The following is a 23,532-nucleotide window of genomic DNA, read 5'->3' on the forward strand; positions in this document are numbered from 1 at the left end:
TTGTTGGGCAAGGTCAAGGAGGTAAGTTGCTAACAGTTAAAATAGCAACGTTTGCAAGTGATTTACTCATATTCTGAAATGCTTTATTAACAGAAAAAGAGGAGTTGTGGTTAGTGAACTGGAAATTATACCTAAGAAAGTTTTGCATATCTGAGCATTATTTTACAATGATTGCAGTGTAAAAGGCTTGAGAATTGCTTGTCTCAGGTGGACTTACTTGGCTGCTGCTTGCAGACCACAGGCTCTGATAATCTGGACTGAGATGGAAACAGTTCGGGCAGCAAGAACTCCCTCTGCTGTTCTTGGACTACGCCTGTACCTTAGGCCCACATCCAGTAAACCTGAAGAATGAGGACACAAGGAAAGAAGGTTGGTCAGAAGAATCTCTGTTCCACCAAACCACAAAGTTTTGGTCAGGAAGGATGGAAGAGGATTAACACTACAACGAACAATAAGGGCAATGAGAGAATCTGTCCTTGTCATAATCACATTGTTATTCTTTAAGGTTAATAAAGGTTTAACAGGTTACTAATTTACTTTACATTCAAGAAATTATGGTTCAGAGATTTAATTCCTTGCCAAGATTACACAACTACTGAAGGCAGAACTTAACTCCAGATTTCTTTTTACCCCCAATTATGTTTATAGAATTGAGATGGGCTCTAGCCATTTTCTTTTTAAACTTTCAAACGGTTTCCACACCTCACATACTTCTATCACCCTCCTACCATCACCACCTGAAATATCCTTCTCATGCTACCTTTTTATAAAACCTCTATCATCCTACTGTCACATTTCAGGGACAGCTTTATGGAATAACAGAATAAGCTGATCAGGGAGGGTCAGGAGAAACAACTCAATCTTAATTATGGTGACATAAAACCTATTGTTTTGGCAGATACTCTTTAGCAAGCATGTACAGCAACTTGATATAGGAGGCTAAACTTCGTTATCTGATGATAAATTTAGAGGGTACACCATCCTGCTGGAAGCATTAGGATGTAATATCATTCAAATCTCCAAATTCGAATTAATCCTCTCCTAACTTTAAACCCTAGCCTTCTCCTCCCTTACAGTGAATTCCTGGTTCATGCTATCTTCTACCAATCCCCTATCTGCTCATGTTGGCTTGGAATAACAATTCTCTGAGTGTACCATATAATGCTTAGAATTTATGGCATGAGGGCTTATAAAATGCTTGCTGAAGTTAAAGGTGAAATGAGACAAGCAACATTTACATAGACTCCATGGAGCTATGAGTTTTCTAGAATTGTATACAAAATTGGCAGTGTATATTCTATACTCATTTTTTCCAAGACAAGGTGTCTTACAGTTTTCATCAGATCCTCAAAAGGGCAAATCCCTCAAAATGTGGAGAATCACTAATTTAGAGAGAAAAGGGATGTTTATGTATACTGTATATTTTATATATATATATGTGTGTGTGTGTGTATATATATATATATTTTTTTTTTGAGACGAGTTTCGCTTTTGTTGCCCAGGCTGGAGTACAATGGCTTGATCTTGGCTCACTGCAACCTCTGCCTCCTGGGTTCAAGCAATTCTTCTGCCTCAGCCTCCCAAGTAGCTGGGATTACAAGCATGGGCCACCATGCCTGGCTAATTTTTTTGTATTTTTGGTAGAGACGGGGTTTCTCCATGTTGGTCAGGCTGGTCTCGAACTCCTGACCTCAGGTGATCCACCCGCCTTGGCTTCCCAAAGTGCTGGGATTAGAGGTGTGAACCACCGCACCCGGCTATTTTATATATTTTTATGTATACTGATTTTGAAAGAAAAAGACAAACTTGTTTTCAATTACCTGATGACTGGTTCCTCAATTCTTTCCTGTTCTCAATCCTGGGGGTTAAAGGGAGATTAAAGGTCTGTATTCCCACATCCTCACGATGCTGGGTGGTTACCATAGCACAGATCCTTGATAATGGCAAGGTTCCTTTGGCGACCTTCTGGTCTCTCACATTAGGATAATAGTATCTGTAAACCACAAAAGCACACGTTGTCAGAAGAATTAGGTGATAAATGATTCAGTCTGCCCCACAGATCAGCCTTCACTACCTGGTTATCTTTGGTGCCTGATTGTTCTGTGTTGGTAGTACGCAGCTATGGTGTCTGGCTAAATTTACCACTCATTATGTGGAGGAGGAACTCCATAAATTATACCGAGTTCAGGACAAAGCCTAGCTTCCCTCAAGTTTTCTGTGCGGTAACTGTACATGCCTTGAACCTGTCGGGGGTGGCCACTCCTGAAAGCTTCCATCTTGCAGCAGCAAAAGTGGTTCAAAGTGGAGTAGGCCCAATATCTTTCATGGCTTACTCTCATCTTCATGCTGAAGCCCCTCTAATTTACCAGGGTAATGAGGATCTGTCAGTACCTACTCTATTTCCTTCTTATGTCAAAACAATCCATTCTTAGATTGCAAAGTTGTAACTCAAACCTAGGTGGTTTTAAAAATCTTTTTTGTACTTGACTGACAATTAATTGTATTTAGGAAAGTGTTCTCGCATGTGGATGGTACTCATCCCTAGTTCTGTTCCTGATGCTGTTTCCTTTCCTCTTATATTTATACTCTCTTAAGCACTTTAGTTGGTTTGTCGGTGGTGCAGATGTAAAGGGGTGGGTTGAACATCCGTATTTATGCCAGTATTTTCCTGGAAATCTTCCAATGTCTGTAACATTGAGTGGATTTATATTTTATAATATAAATCAAATATAATAATTTATATATTTGTTATATATAAATTATATTATTAAATTATATTTATAAAATAAATATAAATGTTCCTCTGGTGGTGGGAAGAACAGGTTACAAGAAATGAGTTTATAAGTAGGAGGCCAGTTAGGAGGCTACCACAGTCATTTAGGCAAGATATGAAAAGGGCCTGAACTAAATAAGGCAGTAAGGGACGCACAAAAAAGGTGATTGATATGTTTAATACATAATAGGAGGTAAAATAAATAAAACTTTCACTTTCAATGTAAGTAGTGATTAGAAATATGAGATACAATGGGTCATAAGATCCTAATAACAGACTTCAGTAAAAACTGGACAAGAGTCACTGTCAAATCCAAATAACATAAAACAGGGCTGAAGAGGCTGCTTAGCTTCCTTACAATAATTCAACCTAGGCTGGTTAGGAGTAGGATGCTTTATGATTGTGCACTTCCTTCCTAGGCATAGGACTGGGGTCTCCACACTGTACCTGCACCAGATTTCAAACTGGACTCCACCTCCAGGCACGAGGCCCTGTGCAGAGAAAGCACTTAGTAGGAGCCTTTGCACTGGAACCTCAGCTGGCAACAGGAGAGAGTGATGGTGTTCACTATTAAAGATGGGATCTGGAACACAGAGTGTGGTTGCAGTTCTGAAGGGCTTCAGAGTAATTCCTTTGGAAAAGAAAAGCATTTCAGAATAATCCAACATATGACTTAGTGTTTTCTTCTTCTTTCATGTTCTTCCAGTGAATATTACTTAGTAATTCCCTAGTAGTTATGGTTCCCTAAGGTCCCATGATAATACAGAAGAAAAAGATACCTTGCTGGTGGACAATTCATATATTGCCATACAAGTGCCAACACTTGTTAGGTTTTTTTTTTTTTTTTTTAATTATAGCCACCTTAGCTAGTATGAAATGGTATCTTGGTAGTTTTGATTTGCATTTCCCAAATAAGTAATGATGCTCAGTATTTTTCCATGTGCTTATTAGCCATTTGTATATCTTTGGAGAAATGTCTATTCAGATCCTTTGCCCACTTTTTAATTGGTTTTTAAGAAATGATTGATTTGTAAGAGTTCTTTATATATTCTGTATATACAAATCTCTTATTTGAACCTCAAAATCAACACTGGCAGCACTCTGGCAATCATTCTGGAACATACACCGAATGGCAAAAAGTTCGAGTCACCTGGTCTGTTTGTTCCCAGGTGAGAAAAAGGTGAGCGAGTTTGACTTCTTGTTTCAGCTCTCCGAGACTACCAGAAGATGGAGACAGTAGGAGGCAGTGAGAAGCTTCCAATCTGGGTACAGTAGGATGGGGTTTGAATCCCAACCTTGGCACTTGTTAGTGGGGCAGCCCCAAGCAAGTCACTTAATGCTTGTGAATCTCATTTTTTCTTTCATAAAATAAAGAAAACAGAGTCTACCAGGGTAAGTTGTTTTAGGAGTTAAGATAATGATCTATGTGAGATATGTATATGTACATATTTCCCTTAGGAACAGTGGTTCAGTATTCCTTAATTCAGCGTTCATGGTGGCTTTACAGAACAGAACTACTGCGAGGAATAAGAATCAACTTATACTATGTGTATAGATAAGAGTGGGCATGTAAAGGATATAAAATAGGGCAAATGCAAATAATTGGTAGAACTAGGTAAAGAGTATACCAAAGTTCTTTGTACTATTTTTACAGGTTTTTGTAAATTTGAAATTGTATCAAAATAAAAAGCTACAAAAATAGTTAAAAAATAAAAAAAACTTGGCCTATCTCCTGTTTTACTGCCCAGTAAGACTAGAAATATTCAACAACACAAAATTCACTCAGAAAAAAAAAACTCTTAAGTATAATCTAATAAAAGAACCATATAAGAATAAGAAAGCCTAATATCTAAACCTACCATTTTCAAGGAACTCAGGTCCTTTCAGCACACTGGATTGAGAGTGTTGAACTGGAAAGTAGTACTGGACATAACAATCTGCTTCTCCCCAGACTGTTGCCTGAAGAGGGGCTAGCCCTTTAACCATCTCTATATGGATCTCAAAGCAGTGCTCCATCAGTCCATTTCCTCGGTCCTCTGCCTATTAAATGAAACAGAAACACTGGTGAGCTTTAAAGAGTAACTTGCTTAGAATATTTCTGCTTCTCTATGAAGTCTGAGTATAGATAAAGAGATAAGTATAATTAGTTGATACTAAAATAGACACTTAATTTTCATTGTAACTCTCACAACTACTCACTGTAAGTAGGCTAAACAGGATGTACTCTTGACTATGAGACTGGGTTAATATTAGGAAATCCATAAATGTAATTCAGTGCATTAATGGAACAATAAAAATGATTAACACAAATGCTGAAAAGGCATTTGATAAAATTCAACATTTGTTCCTGATAAAAGCTCTTAATATACTAAGAATAGAAGGCTGTTCCCTTCATAGGAAAAATAATAAATCGTAAATTTAGAATAAATTCTACATTTAGAACAGCAAAGGAATGAGAAGTGAAGTGGAAGAAGGGTAACACCAGACCAAACTAATATCATAATTTAAGAAAAAAAGGAAAACTAATAGCCTACAGCAGACAGTGGCATCCACGATTCCAGCAGGACTCCTCAGTCTGGCCATTCAGAATAGCAAACAGGTACTAATTACTATTTCAAATCAGTTGGGTATAACACCAGGACTGTCCAATAATGGTAAGGACTACTTTGGGAGGTAGTGAAGACACTGTTACTAAAGGTAATAACAACAAATAATCGTGTATTTATTGAGGATTTACTATGAACCAGGCACTATACCAAACAGCTCACCTTCATTAAGTGATTTAACATGCAGAGCTAGTAACAGTGGAACCAGGTTTAGACTCAACGTAGTCTGACTCCAGAGTCAGTGTTCTTTATCCCTATTCTATACAGCAGATCTTAGAGAATGAATTATTCAGGAAAATTCAAAGGGGGAATTCAGCATTCAGAAAAGAGTTGAGACTATATGATATACATGTGTTTAACATTTTAACTACTAATCCAAAAAATCTAGAACAGAGACTGTATTAGGTCTCTGCTTTGAAATCTGAAAGCATATTTTAGCAATACCTGCTCAAAAATTTTCCTTAGAAAAACAGGAAACTTGCAATTTGATTCCCTCGGGCAAAAAAAATTGAAAAAAAAAATCTCTCAGAGTCACAACAGCTACTTAATTTGGCCTTATAGTATCACAGCAATTTGATATTCAGTTCTGCAAATGGTGAATTGGATGAGAGGCATGAGTAGAGGAGGAAAAACAATTGTTTTTATAGATATCTAATCCCACAGGTAAATCTTTCAAGGATTTCCTCTGTGCATGTAGTGAGAAACATTTTCTAACCTTTACTATGGAATTTAACAAAATCTGAGTCTACACTGCAAGATGACAGCCATACAACGCCTAAACAGACTTGGGGATATTAATGTGGCTTTTCTTTATTTGTGCTTTTATGTAATTTTCAACTTGAAAAATACGATTATCTATTGACAAACAATAATATCTAAGAAATAACTGGCCAGGTGTGGTGGTTCATGCTTGTAATCCCAGCACTCTAGGAGGTGGAGGTGGGTGGATCACTTGAGGTTAGGAGTTCGAGACCAGCCTGGCCTGGGCAATATGGTGAAATCCCATCTCTACTAAAAATATGTAAGTTACCAGGCCCAGTGGTGGGTGCCTGTAATCCCAGCTACCCGGGAGGCCAAGGCAGGAGAATCCCTTGAACCCAGTTGGTGGAGGTTGTAGTGAGCTGAGATGGCACCATTGCACTCCAGCCTGGGCAACAGAGCAAGACCTCACCTCGAAAAAAAAAAAAAAATCTAACAAATAACTAAGAAAAATGTGGAGTTCATAATATACAAATAAACCATAACTTGCTAAAAGTTATTTTCCTAATAGTTCTTTCCCTGCTAGAGACATTTAAATTTGTCATTTGGGTTCAGACTTAAGAATATAACATACTTAAATGGTATGGATACTGAGATTTGGCTGTACTAGTAAAGACAACAAATAGAAGATACAGTAGTACATGATACAGTGGAATAAAGACTGAACTTGAAGTTAGAAGACCTGTGTCTGAATCCCAATTCTCTCATTCCTAGTTATGTGACCCCGGACAAGTAACCTAACCTCTTTGATTCTGTCTCATTATCTATAAAACAGAATAACAATAACCCACCTCAGGTAGTTGTTAGGGAAATAAACATGAGAATGTATGTCAATGTGCTTTCTCAACTGGACAGCACCATACAAAAACAAATTACTTTTAAATTACTAGTAGATAAGCAAGCACTTCACAATGACTTTCCAGCATGGGCTCAGCCAATAAGCAGAGTAAGATTTTGCTGGCTTACATTTGGGATCACTCTCCACTCCCAATCTTTTTTAAAGGCAATTAAGCCAGTAAATTAGATAATTAAGATTTGGTTGTTCGATTGGATTTTCTTTATAAATTCAGGGAGCTAAGAGGGACATAGAGATCCATTTAAATCATAACAGAAAATTACCAATGATTCCTTTGATTTATAGGAAGCACTGGAGTGCACATTATGTTCTTTTGTTGAGCCTTTCATTACAGAAATAAAGGATTTGGGCAATAAATTCACTAAAATATGCAAGAGAAAATGAAATAATGACTTTTTGTAAACCATAGCGTTTATTACCATAGCAACAGATGCTGCAGTTGGCTGGTCCAGGAAATGGGCTGGCCTAGGGCTGAAGGGAGGGAGTGTTCCTTCTTCATTCTTTAATCTTTGTAGTGCCATTATTTGATTTGAAGAACCCATAGCTAAAAAGACTCGAAGACTCCCATTTTGGTGGCCTGAAAACACATCAATCACAGGCATGTAGCTGTCGACAGCAACAACTGGGTACTGGGCATCCAGCAGCAGGCGAGAAATCTTAGCATCTCTAGAGGGGGAGAAATTGTGAATAAGCAAATAACAAGCATCAATCATGTCATAGAGTTATTTCTTTCTTGACTCATTTTTTCAGTTTGTTAAAAATAGATTTGCAACTGGAAAAGTAATAGTGGTTTTAAAAAATGTGTGCATCTGTCAGTAACCTACCAAATAAAAATTACCAGGCAGAGAAGTTCAAAATGTAGCAATTTGAAGGCAAGGAATGTGTCTGATATGTCTCTGTAGCATTATGGACCCAAGTCCAGTGTCTGTGATTTGAACAGTATCTCATGGAGCTTTGCTAAACTGCATTATTTTAAAGGGAGGAAGTGTGGTCTACTAGGAAGAATGTGGACTTTGGTGTCTGACAGATAAGATTTGGAAAATATTGCCAATATCTGCCATCTACTAAGTGCTTAGTATGTGCTAGGCATTTTATAGTATTTCTAATCCTTTTAACGCTGCAAAGGTTGGTATTATCCACTATTAATGGATGAGAAAAGCCAAATTTAAAGAGGTTAAGTAACTTAGCTAAGGATACACAACTAGTAGGAGGTTAAGTTGGGATTCAAGCTCTGATAAATGATTTATAATGCCATGCTGAATCTTAGCTCTGCCACTTATTTGCTGTGTGACTCAAGCAATTCATTTAACATTTTTGAGTCTGTTTTGTCATTTTTAAAACGTACGCAATGAAAAAACTTCCATCAAAGAGTGGTTGTTAGGACTAAACTGAGATAACATACAAAATACCAACTATGATGCTTGGTACATGGAAGATGCCCAGTAACTGGTAGTTACTATTATTTTACACACTCTGAGCAAAGAATGAGATCTAATGGAATGAGAAGTGAAGTGGAAGAAGGGTAACACTAGACCAAACTAACATCATAATTTAAGAAAAAAAGGAAAACTAACAGCCTACAGCAGACAGTGGCATCCACGATTCCAGCAGGACTACCCAGCCTGGCCATGATTTCCAATGTTACTGTTGTAAGTATTAATACTCAGCTGTTCACAGAAGGCATATCCATGTATTTTCTCTCTAGATCTTCACGATTGTTCCACAAGAGAGATAGGTAATCTACTATCACCCTCATTTTACAGATGAGGAAAAGAAAGTCAGAGAGGTTAAGTGACTTCTGCAAGTTAAAGGACAAATTTCTTCATCTGTAATATAGGGATAATAACAATACTTTATAGGGTTATAGTAAGGTTCAAATGAGCTAATGCCCACAAAGGTGCTCTTTGTAAAATGTAAAACACAACATTTAAAACACAGAACTATGAGAAGGCTGCTAGGAAAGAGGTCAGTGCTAAAATAATTAAAAATCAGAATCTTGAGTCAAAATTAAAAAGGAACAGTTTAGGCTGGGCGCGGTGGCTCATGCCTGTAACACCATAACTTTGGGAGGCTGAGGCGGGCGGATCATGAGGTCAGGAGATCGAGACTGTCCTGGTTAAGACGGTGAAACCCCGTCTCTACTAAAAATACAAAAAATTAGCCAGGTGTGGTGGCAGGTGCCTGTAGTCCCAGCTACTTGGGAGACTGAGGCAGAAGAATGGCGTGAACCCAGGAGATGGAGCTTGCAGTGAGCCGAGATCGTGCCACTGCACTCCAGCCTGGGCAACAGAGTGAGACTCCGTCTCAAAAAAAAAAAAAAAGAAAAACAACAAAAAAGAAACAGTTTGTATTGAGGAATGAAATAACCTTCAGGTTAATCAATACCCCACCTACGTGTTAAAAGTGAGGTGGAGCAATCAAATCTGAAGGTCTAAAAGATAATATTCACTATATAAAACTTGCAAATAGTTGATGTGAACAATACTGAAGTTCCGTGACAGAATGGTAAACCACCTTTTGAGAGGTGGTAACTTTTGACAATAGAGTTTTTTGGTGAAGTGTGGACTCCAGAGCCATGCTATCTTGGGTCCTAACCCTTCACTTTATAATGTATGTGACAAGTAATTTAACTTCTCTGAATCTCTGTTAACTCATCTGTACAAAAAAGCAAATAGAAGTACCTGCCTCAGAGGGTTTGTCAAGAAGATTAAATGACTTGATGTTGCAAGGTTTTTAGCATAGTGCCTGAAACATGGTAAGCAATATCTCTAAGACTGCTTTAGAATAGGAGAAAGAGCAGCAACTCTGTTGAAACTGGAAAAAGTCCTTCAAGGGATTACTGGGCTATTCATGTTTGCAAATCAAAAGAATTCCTTTTCAGTCCATGCAAAGTTAAAGATGCACAATAAAGAATACTCCAAAAGGTCCTATTTACTTGAATGACATGTAAAACTGGTGGAGGGGAAGTTTCACCAGCCCGAGCAGCTTGTCCTGTCCTGGGCTCCGCACCTTATTCCAAGTTTCAATTACCATCACATTGTTCTTAAGCCTTTCCAGGTATTTGGAAGACAGAGAGACAGGAATCACCTAAGAGAGAGGAACAACCAAAACAAACAAAAAACTCATACCTGAGACAAATATTAATTTATACTTTCATTCAATAAGCATTTACAGAAAGCCTATTGTTAACACACAGTGTTATGAGCTAAAGACATTCAAATAAAACTTACTCTGTATCCTCAAGAGAAGTAGCAGTCTGCTGTTAGAGACTAACACATAAAGGCCAGATACAAAACAGTGAGTTCTCTGATGACAAAGCTCATACAGGTGGAGCTTTGAGGACACAGAGAAGGTTGTTAAATATGTCAAACATGGTGCCTGCCAAACTCGTCCAACCCTTTCTAAGGCAAAGTGATCCACTAGTAAACCCCACTGAAAGAAAGATGTTTTTGAAACAAGTATGCTACTGACTTGACAAGAGTTGAGTATTTTATCAAAGGGCAGCCAATTCACTGGCTGGATAGCATTTAATAAAATGGCCAAGTGCCAAAAGCTCTGCCCAACAGGTGTCACAGTAAAGAGCAAAGCCAACTGCTCCTCTGGATTTTCAACATAAAATTACTCCAGAATTGGCCAGTTGATAGTTGAAAAAGACAGGTCACAAAGAGAATCAGAGATCTAAGCCAAAAGCACCTTTGTCAAATTAGTGGTAGAATCAAGGGCCCACCAATTTGAAGAAACCCAAGCTGTAGGGACAACTGTAACAGTAGAAGGTCAATAAGCCCCAATGTTGAAACCAATAGAAAACATGAGAGGCAAAAAGTGTGAAATTAGAAAAGGGATGATGAGAGGAAGACACCAGAAAACAGAGCAGAGCTACTTTTGTATCCACCTAAGAAACACAAGGTGGATACAAACCTAGTGTTTATATCCTGAACACATTTCTGTTCCTTGAAACCAAAAAAAGTAAAACTAGAACAGCAACCTAACCTCCAAATAAGGAAGTTGCAGGCAACTACTTCTGGGACAAAGTAACCTTAAATCTCAAGGCTGAGCAGGAGTTAACTGATACAAAAAGCTCTGCTTAAGTGGTGTCAAGAAGGCTTAAAGGAAATTCAAGGCAGAAGAAAGAGCACATATGAAGATACAGAAGTAGGAGAAGAGAATATTCAGGAAAGTCTAAGTAGCTGAGCACAGCTGGGCTATCTAGTATAAGGGGAAGAGTGGCAGGAGCTGAGGCTGGAGAAGTACATACAGTCAGTTTTCAAAGGGTCTTGGATGCCAAGGATTTACATTCCATCTTGAAGGATATAGGGAATCACGGAAAGGCTTTAAGCAGGAAAGTAAAATGTTCAGGTTAGTGTTTTAGAAAGGTCATTCTCATTGGTGCATAAAGGAGGCAATGGACATAAAGAGAGCTGGGAAACAGCTATACCAGTCTGAAGGCTATTTGGAAGGAGGGTGAAGGTTTGAATGGAAGCAGTGGCAGTGCAGTGAAGGTAAAGGGATGTCTTCCAGATAATTAAGTTAGTAGTATCTATTAGACTTGGTAAGTAATTACATAAGAAAGAGTCAAGGACAAATAACAGGTTCTACTTAGGTGCCTGAGTAAATTATAATTTGAATTAGGGCAGACAAAAAGAGGAAGAACAGATTTGGAAGAAGTGATAAATTCAGATTTGAACATGTTTGAATTCATTCTTTCATTTACACATCTTTATTGAATACCCAGTATGTGCCAGGCAATGTGTTAGGTGCCAAGTGTAAACTGCTTCTGAGATATCCAGGTGATAATGACCAGCAGGCAGTTAGATACAGAAATCTCAAACTAAAAGGAAATGTCTGGCTTATATAGAAATGTAGACATGGAAGTTATCTTCATAAAAATGAGTGCTGAAGCTGTGTTGATAGATGTGATGACCATGGGGAGAAGTGGGTTGATTTGGAAGAGTGCCAGCAATAGAGTAAGAGTGGAAGCACCAACAGTTAAAGGAAGAAGTACTGGGGTTACCACCCTTTTCCTAGTTTTCCTTCTGGCCCAATGACTGAAAAAGAACAGCTTTGAGTGAGGAAGAAATTAAGACAGTAAAGTTACAAAAACCAAGAAAGAAAACAATTTAAGCACCACATTACACAGAAAAATCAAGTTAAGATGAATACTGAAGTAGGCAGAAGAATAAATGTGAGGAGAAATATATAAAATAAAGTAATAAAGAAGGAGAGATTGGAGAAAGATGGGGAGGTTTAACTAATCAAAGTCTTAGAGGAAGCAGAAAGGAATAGAATCCCAAAACTCAGGCAAAAGAAACAGTGAGAAACCATGTGAACTCAGACAGAATAGAAATAAAGACAAACAGTTTTAAAATGTTGACAATGCCTTTCCCTCTTCCCATCCAATAGTGGGACTGAATCTGTACACCAGATAATTACGAAGGTTCCTTCTAGTCTGAACATTCTAGATTTAAGACGAAATAATAATTTGGGAGGCATTTGTCTCTCACCCCTATATTCCTCTAATGGATATGGAATGTACAAAGTTACCTGAGAAAAGTTAAAGACCGGTTGTGTTGTGCCCCATGCGATGACAGATCTGGTGACTTCCTCTGTGCTGAAGAGTTTACAATTTAAATAAACATTGCATGGTGATTGTTTCTCAGATTCTCCACTAATAAAATCTTTCCCATCTGGCACCATCAACAGCACATGCAACAGCAAAGCACTCTCTTTTGTTGTCCCATTTGTCTGATTGACTAAATTATGGGAGGCTGGCGTAGCTACGAAGGTTGAAGGATGTGGTGCTACAGGGCTTGGTGACTTTCGGTTGGGGAGCACCAAGTTCTGTGCTTTCTTTGCAGTTTCCTCATGAATTTGGTTTAAGTTTTGTGGATTTTTGGTACAGGTCATATCTTGGTTAAGTTCTGGTAGTGCCTTATTTGGACTTGTAGGAGCACAAAGTGGGGTATAATGGGTGTTGCCACTTAACTTAGTATTGATACCAGTGAAATCTTTGTTATCTGTAATAAGCTCCATGGTTACCTGTAAAACACAAAAGGAGAAGAGTCAATAAGAATGTCCTTTAGAATTGGAATTAGAATTTTGAGGCTGGAAACAACATCAGATTATTAGGAAATGAATTAACTCATCCTCAAACACTCTAATAGTAAGAATATTAACAGAATGCATATACATTAACTTGCTAGACTAAGAAAAACTAGACAGATGATTTATCAATAACAAAAGATGAGCCTGGAAGATCAAGTTATGCCAGAATATAAGATAGTTCCCAGAAAAGAATGGAGCCATGTTTAAAGGACCCAGAATCCAGCTGAAGAGGCTCCCACTGGCTAAATCTAGGACAACTTAAGCATCAGAATGAATAACAGTAATGGATTATAAACTATTGAATAAGAATCCATGAATCCATCCTGATATAAAATAAATATGAGAGAAGAAACAGCTTCTCTATATAGAATGCCAATTAATAAATGCAAAAGAGACGGTAGAGTTAGAAATCACCATTTGACAATCATCACAGTAATAAGTGATTCAGGTTAACCCCAGTGGAGGAACATTCTTTAAAATAACTGGCATTACTTAAAAATATCAGCATATTGAAAAATAAAGAAAGGCTGCAGAACTGTTCCTGACTAAAGGAGATTAGGAAGATCTGACAAAATGCAATAGATAATCCTGGACTAGAAAAAAATATTTGCTATAAAGGCACTGGTATAATTGGTGAAATCTCAGTATAGCCTGCAGATATAGTATCAATGCTATGCTGACTTTTGTAACTCTAGAGTATTATGCATGATGATGTCCTTGTTCTAAGGAAATACATAAAATATAAACTAAAGAATTTAGGGGGAAAGAGGCATGATGTACAACTTACTCTCAAATAGTTCACAAAAAAATGTGTATGTACATGTATGGGGGGAGGAGATAAAGGGACAGAGAGAGAGAGGCAGAGAAGAGGCAGACAGACAATTATAAAGAAAATGTGACAAATAGTAAGAATTGGGGAGTCTCAGTAAAGGGTATAAAAAAGTCTAAATAATTAAAAAGTAAAAAAGAAAAGGGAAGCAGGATAAATGATGAATTTAAAGAACAGAAGTGGTCACTAACTGTTAGGAGACTCAATTACTAGGGGTAAAAGGTTCTTGCTGTTTCTTCGATCTGAAATCCTAAGTGTTACATAGCAAGGTTCTTTTACTCTGTTGAATATAGACAGCAATCTATCCAGAATAGTATTTCTCTCAAAAGAGCCAGAACAGAAAAAATTTCTAGTTGATCAATCCTATTTATAACCCCTTTCTGATTTTAAACTTTGTAGTTCAGAATGAACCAGGCAGACAAAAACTATAACTTGGATAGCAAGAGTAGGTGATGTTAATTTTTTGCAATAATAATTGTGTAAGTCTTTAAAGCAAAGTGGTATTTACTAAGACCAAGAAGAGAGACAAGGCTTTCAAGAAGAAAAGGCAGTATGATAATCAATAACAAAAACACAGAGGCATGAACCAGCATGATACCTTACTGACTCTTTACGTAGAGTGACATAGTTATTGGTAGAGAAGCTGTAAGAGAGAAGGTTGAAATGGTAGGCCAGGGTCATATATTAAGCCTTGTACTTTATCCTTTGGGTGATTGGGAGCCATCAGGATGTTTTAGGCATGGCTGTGATGATTTTTTTTTTTCTTTTGAGACAGAGTCTTGCTCTGTCGCCCAGGCTGGAGTGCAATGGTGCAACCTTGGCTCATTGCAACCTCTGCCTCCTGGGTTCAAACGATTTTTGTGTCTCAGCCTCCCGAGTAGCTGGGATTACAGGCGTGTGCCACCACTCCTGGCTAATTTTTGTATTTTTAGTAGACATGTGGTTTAGCCATGTTGCCCAGGCTGGTCTAGAACTCCTGAGCTCCGGCAATCTGCCCGCCTTGGCTTCCCAAAGTGCTGGGATTACAGGCTTGAGCCACTGCACCCGGCTGATTTTTAAAACTCACCAGGACAAAGCTATACTGAAGCCACACGCTCAGATTCTGTCATCTAAGAAATCCTAACTCACCTGAATACAAGGAAATAACCCTCTCTCCAATGAATTATATACCAGAATTCATTCTACCAGGCACACTTAGTTACTGCTCTCCTTCTTTATTTCAATTACTCTAGTCTAAGCCACCATCAATCATCTCTTTTCTGGACTAATGCCACAGCCCATTTCCCTCTTTCCTCTTGCCGTCTATTCTCCACACAGTAATCTTGTAAAATGGAAATCAGATGATGTCAGTCCCATGCTTCAACATTCTTTCCTTGGATCTTAGGCTAAAATCTAAACTCTTTACCTTTACCTACAAAGCTCTGATGATATGGCTTCTACCTGACTGTTCAACCCTACTTTCTACCACTCTCTCTCTTGCTCACTATCCTCTGGCAACTTTCTATCCCTTGATGACTCCAAGCCCACTCCTGCTTTAGGGCTGTTGCACCTGTTATTCTCTCTGGAATGGTCTCTGTGTTTTTTACTTACTCCTCTTATTCTTCAAATCTCACCTTCTATTTCACCTCCATAGAAAGATCCTCCCTGATCACCATCTCCTACTTTCTCACAGGTACTCACTATCACATCATACCATTTATTTCCTTCATAGTACTTCCACTGCTCTATTTCAAGAGATGCTACACAAGATCAAAGACCTTGCTTTTCTTGTTCACTGCTATATCCTCAGTGCCAGCCAATAATGCATACTCAGCAAATACTTCTGACTTCCTGAATGTATATCTACATACCTTGAGGGGGCCAAATGGAGACTGACCATTTTCTTGTTGCACTGGAAGCTGATCACTGAAAGAAAGCAGCTCTGATTGAATGACAGCTCGCAAAGAAAGTGACACAGATCCAATGACTTCTGGCTGAGAAAGAAGGAAAGAGAACATTTAGATTAATTAAAGAGAAGCCACAGGTGATCTTAATTAAAGTGACAACATATGATGGCTTATAAAGGAAACCATTCAGGAAGAAAAAAGCTTAATTATCTAAGACAACTCTGAGATCCCACTTTGTCATATTTTGGTCTCTCTTCTGGCTTTTGCTACTTCCCTCTATAAGATTACAGAGGGTTTTATAAGCCACAAAGTGGTGGGAAGATTATCTTTTTCTATCACTAAGAGTTAATTCTTACTCAAAATGTTCAACTTCACTATTAAAAATAAAAAATAAAATTTAGATGTCACAAATTTTTGCTATTAAAACTAGGGAAATTGTAAAATTTAATATATCTAATGCTATCAAGGCTATGGAGAAACAAGAGGCTGTCATATGCGTAAAGCTGGAAATATAAACTGGCAATATGCTTTTGGATGGCAAATTTGGTAACAGATATTAAAAGCTTTAAATATTTATGCTCTTTGGCCCAGTAATTCCATTTCTGGGAATTTGTACTAAAGAAATAATAAATAGGCTGGGCGCGGTGGCCCATGCCTGTAATCCCAGCACTTTGGGAGGCTGAGGCAGGCAGATCACCTCAGGTCAGGAGTTCAAGACCAGCCTGGCCAACATGGTGAAACCCCCGTCTCTACTAAAAATACAAAAAAATTAGCTGGGCATGGTGGCGGGTGCCTGTAATCCCAGCTACTCAGGAGGCTGAGGCAGGAGAATCGCTCGAACCCAGGAGGCTGAGGTTGCAGTAAGCTGAGACCATGCCATTGCACTCCAGCCTGGGCAACAAGAATGAAACTGTGTCACACACACACACACACACACACACACACAGAAATAAGAAACAATGCATAAAAAGCTTATACACAAATATGTATATGTTAAAAGTAGTTAACAATGAGATATACCTAGTTGTCCAATAATCAGGAATTATTAAGCTAATTATATAGCACATCCATATGATGGCATAACATGTAGCCATTAAAATGACATTTACTAAAAGTTTCTAATAATATTAACTGTTATAATGTTTGATAAAAGGGTATTAACTCATATATATCATAAACCTTCAAATACAAAATTATGTGAAAAACATTAAATAGATATTTTTGAAGAAAAATGAATAAAAACCCTCAAGATGCTAAATGATAAAAAGGAAGAATAAAACCTACATACAAAATTATACAACATACTGTATTCATTGGAAAAAGACAATGCAGATAGTCATAAATGTTAACAATAGTTATTTCTTGGTGACAGAATTACAGGCAATTTTTGCCTTTTAAAAATTATTTTTCAAGTTTTCTACAAAAATACGTAAAACTCTTTTATAATTAGAAAAAAAATGCCGGCCGGGCATGGTGGCTCACGCCTGTAATCCCAGCACTTTGGGAGGCCGAGGTGGGCAGATCACAAGGTCAGGAGATCGAGACCATCCTGGCTAACATGGTGAAACCCCGTCTCTACTCAAAATACAAAAAAATTAGCCAGGTGTGGTGGTGGGAGCCTGTAATCCCAGCTACTCGGGAGGCTGAGGCAGGAGAATGGCGTGAACCCGGGAGGCAGAGCTTGCAGTGAGCTGAGATCGCGCCACTACACTCCAGCCTGGGCGACAAAGCGAGACTCTGTGTCAAAAAAAAAAAAAAAAGAAAAGAAAAAAAATGCCATTAATTAGGTATAGGAAAATGATTCAATGTAAATACATTGAAATGTTAATAGAGTTTATCTTGAGGTTATGAAATGATGTGCCTTTCCCACCATTCCTATTTTGCTATAATTTTTCAAAAAGGACCTGTATTGTATATGTCTTCTGAAAAAAATAAAAGAAAACAAGATGTTCTTCATGCTATCCATACCAAATAAGAGGTCAAAAGATTATAAAGACTACTCTTTTATTGAAGGAAGTAAAAACTGCTTGTTATAGTTTATTGATTTACATTATGCCAGCTGCAAGCAATTTTATAAACTTGGAATTAGTTGATCAAAACTGCTACTCACAACTATATTATTTTGGGCTTGGATACCTTATGTATTCTGCCTGCAAACAGGAAGTAGAACCTCAAATTAAGGCTAATAGCCTGTATCAATATAGCTACCTTTCTTTAGAAGGGAACAGCACAATAAAGAGGTTAAGAACTTGAGATCTAAAGACAGCAGATTTGGGATGGTGTCCTGGCTCTTTCATTAGATTGAGTGATCTTAGACATGTTAACTAAATCTCAGTTTCTTCATCTGTAAAACAAATATAATAATGTACCTAATTCACAGAGTTGTGGTGATTAAAATTGATAGTGTGCTCGTGTAGAGCCTTTAGTATTATATCTGGCCCATGACAAACAGCAGAGATTAGTAGTAGTAATAATAATAATGATAATAATAATAATAATAATAATAACAATGGATTATTAGTACTGCCTGCACCTGAAGATTCCTAGTTTAGGTAAGAATATAATTTTAGGTATCCTCCAAATCCCTAGTGTGAAGGTAAGGCAAAGGCCAAAATCACTCAAAGTACCTTTTTCTGTGGAGTTTTCTTTACATAAATTTGGAAAGTGAGGTTGGAATTCCACCAGTGCTCTATCATTGGGCCACCAAACTGTACTGGAAACACAAATCGCTGCTGGAACTTCACCTCTGTAAGGAGAACCAGACACACAGACATGTCACACCACCCAACTGAAGTCATCATCAATTCATGCCTTGATACCACCTGCCTCCCTTTCAAATTTAATTAAAATCTCCTGCAGAAATCGAGTCAGTGTGCTTTCACAGAAAGTGCTAGGGTTGTAGGATTGAATGAGCAGGGACAAAGAGAAAACTCTGGAGATAGTACACAGAAGACAGGCAGTGCTATGTTGCTCCGCTTTGCCATGAGAAATGAATGTCAATCATATGAGTACTGGATGTGTAAGGAGACATATCTATATACTTCACTGGGTTTTAGGTAATAGCACTGTTTTTAAAAGACTAGTTTGTAGGTAGTATACTAAAAGAAGGGGGCTGGTTGGAGGTGGAACAATGAGGGATAAATAGAAGAATGGAATAAAAAACTATAATACAAAAATAAGCCTACCTTCTGGACACTCTTACTGTCACAAACAAGTTATCAGGTACTGATGTTAGCTAGTAGTGTCAGGCAAAGGAGTCTATCTCTTGGGTGGAAAGGAAGGGGTTTCTGCTATAACTATAAGTGTAAGTGGATAAAGTGATGGTGGTATTTGAGTTTGTGCTCATGGCCATGGAGTTTTAACTGGTAAATAAAAAGAATTTGAGGCCGGGTGCGGTGGCTCACGCCTGTAATCCCAGCACTTTGGGAGGCCGAGATGGGCAGATCACGAGGTCAGGAGATCAAGACCATCCTGGCTAACATGGTGAAACCCCGTCTCTACTAAAAATACAACAACAAAAAAAAATTAGCTGGGCGCAGTGGCAGACGCCTGTAGTCCCAGCTACTTGGGAGGCTAAGGCAGGAGAGTGGCGTGAACCGGGGAAGCAGAGCTTGCAGTGAGCCTAGAGCACACCACTGCACTCCAGCCTAGGCAACAGAGTGAGACTCTGTCTCAAAAATAAATAAATAAATAAATAAAATAAAATAAAATAAAAAGAATTTGAGACCAGAATCAAAGGATATAAGTTTAAGCTCCAGTTCTAATACTTACTATTACTTACCACCGCAGAAACAATTTATCACCTATAAAATGATCTTCCTGTCCATTCACTGCTAAGGCTGTTAAAATGGATCATGAATCTGAAGAATCTTCACAAGAGGCCCAGTTATGTATGAAGAGAATCTGCTATTTCTAGCATTCATTCAAATGACCCATTTTAACCTACTGATCTCTCTATTCATCTCTGGCCATATTAACTGGCGACTCTATACTTTTCTTGGCACTGTTGGACAGGATCTGGACCTTGCTATGTGGATCAATGCACAGGAACTATGAACAAAAGGTCTGGGGCCAGGAAGCCCACATCCACTAGATCAGTTTATCTGGTTACTCTACCTGGGAAAGGGAAGTAAGATAACACCTGCACCTCATTGGTGTGCTGGGAGGATGAACTGAGGTAATAAAGGAAAAAGCACTTTGAACACTGTAAAATTCTTTATGTACAAACAATCCTATTTCAATTTCTCCTTACTACTTGGGTATGTTCTTGCACTGTTACTATATTTCTTATATAATTCTGTTTCTTAGGCTCATTATTTTTTACCACTGAAAAGTGAGTTAAGGCAGTAAGTGAAGAAGAAATTCAGGTAAATAACTTGCTAACAGTGTCCCAGAGAAGATTTTTTTCAAGAGTTGAAAGGGATCCAGATTAATACCTAGTCTAATCCATATTATTGTTAAGAGAGGCCCACAGGTAAGAAAGTGATTTTGCCTAAGGCATATGATTAGTGTGTGGTATAATCAGAACTAGAACCCAGTCTTGCAATTCTTTGCTCAATGCTTATTCCACATTTCCTATATAATCCTTCTCAGAAAAATGTAGAGAAGATCAATCACTGTGGCCAACAACAACAATAATGTTTAAGAAGCAATACAGATTAAGGCACATTTTGGAATCGAAACGGTGCTAGGTTGAAATTCTAGTTCTACCATAAACCAGCTGTGTGATCTCATAGAAGCTACTTAACTAATTTATGTCTCAGTTTCCTCTTTCCTCATCTGTGAGTTTCCTCTTTCCTCTTTACGTCCTGATATGCAAAAATTCCTAAGATATAATGTTAAAGGCAAGGTGCAGAACCATGTACAGGTTGGGCAGCCCTAACCCCAAAACTCAAAATCCAAAATGCTCCAAAATCCAAAACTTTCTGAATGCCAATATGATGCCAGAGTGGAAAATACCATACCCTACCTCATGTGATGGGTCTCAGTCAAAATGCAGTGAAAACTTTATTTCAAGCACAAAATTATTAAAAATATTGTATAAAATTACCTTCAGGCTATGCATATAAGGTCTATATGAAACATAAATGAATTTCATGTTTAGATTTGGGTCCTATCCCCAAGATATCTTATTAATGTATATGCAAATATTCCAAAATCTGAAAAAATTCGAAATCCTAAATACTTCTGGTTCTAAGCATTTTGAAGAAAGGACACTCAACTTGTGTATGGTGCATTAATACTTGCAGAAACATGGGGGATGGGAGGCAGGGGAAGGGATAAACCAAGCTTGTCCAACCCACAAGTGGCCCAGGATGGCTTTGAATGCAGCCCAACACAAATTTGTAAACTTTCTTAAAACACTGTAAGATTTTTTTGCGATTTTTTTTTTAAGCTCATCAGCTATCATTACTGTTAGTGTATTTTATGTGTGGCCCAAGACAATTCTTCTTCCAACGTGGCCCATGGAAGCCAAAAGATTGGACACCCCTGGAGTAAACATATTTGCTGATACACACACACACACACACACACACACACACACACACACACACACACACACATATATATATACACACACACATTATCTATCTATCTATAATGGCTTAAGGAAGGATATAAAAGCAACAATCTTGATTGTCTGCAAGGATGCAACCGTTCAATTTTGAACCATGTGAATGGATTATCTATTTCAAAAAGGAAACAAAACAAAGCAAAGTAAAAATTTAAAAATCCCGTGTTACTATGCTGTAAAGGAAAAGTTATTTGACTATGTAGTAGGAGTGTTAGGACCACATCTTTTATTTCTCAAACTACTTCCCAGAGAATAAACTTAACACTGATGAACTAACTATTCATAGATCAAACTGGAGAACCAAGGCAAAGCTATCCTCAGAATATATTAGAAAAGTGGCTGTAATTTTGGGTGGCAGGAACATAAATGTCTATTATATTATCCTTTTTCTGTATCTGAAATATTTAAAACAAATTAGAAAAAAAAGACAACACCAAAAGCCTAAGCAACAAAAGAAAAAAAAACAGATAAACTAGAGTACATAAAAATTAAAAACTTTTGTGCTGTAAACAATACCATCTAGAGAGTGAAAGGACAACCCACAGAATGGGAGAAAATATTTGCAAATCATAGATCTGATAAGGGGCTTGTATCTAGGATATACAAAGAACTCTTATAACTCAATAACAAAAAGCCTGATTTGAAAGTGAACAAAGGATCTGAATAGACATTTCTCCAAAGAAGATCTATAAATGGCCAATAAGCACATGAAAAGATGCTTGACATGATTGGCCATCAGGAAAATGCAAATCAAAATCAATGTGATGTCACTTCACATCCACCAGGATGACCAGAATAAAAAAGAATGGAAAGTAACAAGTGTTGACGAGGATGTAGACAAATTAGAACCTTCATATACTGCTAGTGGGAAAATGGTGCAGCCACTGTTGAAAACAGTCTGGCAGTTCTTGAAAAAGTTAAAACATAAAGTTACCATATGACCCAGCAATTCTACCATTAGATATATACCCAAGGGAAATGAAAGCACACAGTCCATACAAAACCACGTACACAAATGTTCACATAGCAGCATTATGCAAAATTGCCAGGAAGTGGAAATAACACGAATGTCCAGCAACTGAGAAAAGGATAAATGAAATGTGGTATATCTATGCAATGGAGTATTACTCAGCCATAGAAAGGAATGAAGTACTGATATATACTATAACATGAAACTTAAAAATATTATGGTAAGTCAAAGACAGTAGTCACAAAAATCACAAGTTGCATGATTCCATTTATATGAGACATCCAGAATGGACAAATTGATAGGGAAAGAAAGATTAGCAGTTGCTTAGGGCTGGGGGAAGAGGGAAATGCGAAGCGAATGCTAGTAAGTATGGGGTTTCTTTTAGGGGGGATGAAAATGTTCTAAAATTAGATTGTGGTGATGGTTGCACAGCCTTGAAAATATTGGCTGGGCGTGATGGCTTATGCCTGTAATCCCAGCACTTTGGGAGGCCGAGGCAGGCGGATCACTTAAGGTCAGGGGTTTGAGACCACCCTGGCCAACATGGTGAAACCCTGTCTCTACTAAAAAATACAAAAATTAGCTGGGTGTGGTGGCATACGCCTGTAATCCCAGCTACTCAGGAGGCTGAGATGGGAGAATCACTTGAACCCGGGAGGTGGAGGCTGCAGTGAGCAGAGATTGCGCCACCACACTCCAGCCTGGGCGAAAGAGTGAGACTCCATGTCAAAAAAAAAAAAAAAAAAAAAGTCAAATGAGTAATTAGGAATTCAAAAATTCTTCCAAAGTCAGAATGTCTAAGGTGCAGAAAACCAGTGTGTCTCTTACTTCCATCTGTAATTTTACTGGAGGCGAGTCGAACAACCTCAGTGATCAAAGCTGTCTTTCCCAATCCGCTTTCCGAAAAGCCCACAGGAAAGTGATATTCTACAAAGAAAGTGCTAAAAAGAAAAAAAAAGTGATTAAAAACTAACCAAACAATAAACCTAATTTCCGTCTGATAAATCCAACATATATTTGAAATCTTACTTTCAGGACCTCTAGTACTCAGAGGCCCTACCTCTTCTTCAAAGCCTTCCACCAACCCTGTCTGAGAGAATCAAAGGCTCCCTTTCTTGTGTTCCCACAGCAATTTTAATACAAAACATCTATTTTGGGCCCTAAAGCTTTATGTTA

General features: G+C 37.9%; 1 protein-coding gene across 2 annotated transcripts in view, besides 1 other annotated feature; it reads right to left on the reverse strand.

Moving 5' to 3' along the window:
- C2CD3 (C2 domain containing 3 centriole elongation regulator) overlaps window positions 1–23,532 on the reverse strand; it is a 158,285-nt gene that overhangs the window by 77,878 nt on the left and 56,875 nt on the right. For both annotated transcript variants that reach the window (NM_001286577.2, NM_015531.6), the window contains exons 11-20: window positions 23,185–23,297; window positions 18,439–18,557; window positions 15,776–15,898; window positions 12,536–13,030; window positions 9,930–10,081; window positions 7,414–7,660; window positions 4,633–4,813; window positions 3,221–3,404; window positions 1,821–1,993; window positions 218–341 (exon numbers count right to left, since the gene is read on the reverse strand). In NM_001286577.2, coding sequence (NP_001273506.1) covers window positions 218–341; window positions 1,821–1,993; window positions 3,221–3,404; window positions 4,633–4,813; window positions 7,414–7,660; window positions 9,930–10,081; window positions 12,536–13,030; window positions 15,776–15,898; window positions 18,439–18,557; window positions 23,185–23,297 — 1,911 coding nt within the window. The remainder of the gene's footprint in view (window positions 1–217; window positions 342–1,820; window positions 1,994–3,220; window positions 3,405–4,632; window positions 4,814–7,413; window positions 7,661–9,929; window positions 10,082–12,535; window positions 13,031–15,775; window positions 15,899–18,438; window positions 18,558–23,184; window positions 23,298–23,532) is intronic.
- Window positions 6,714–7,261: an enhancer, noted in NCBI's record as "NANOG hESC enhancer chr11:73808354-73808901 (GRCh37/hg19 assembly coordinates)". NCBI's record gives its function as "activates a minimal SCP1, AML or CMV promoter by ChIP-STARR-seq in naive H9 embryonic stem cells {active_cell/tissue: H9 hESC(naive)}" and the evidence as "EXISTENCE:reporter gene assay evidence [ECO:0000049][PMID:30033119]".

This window comes from Homo sapiens, chromosome 11 (assembly GCF_000001405.40).
Source record: "Homo sapiens chromosome 11, GRCh38.p14 Primary Assembly".
NCBI classification, from domain to species: Eukaryota; Metazoa; Chordata; class Mammalia; order Primates; family Hominidae; genus Homo; species Homo sapiens.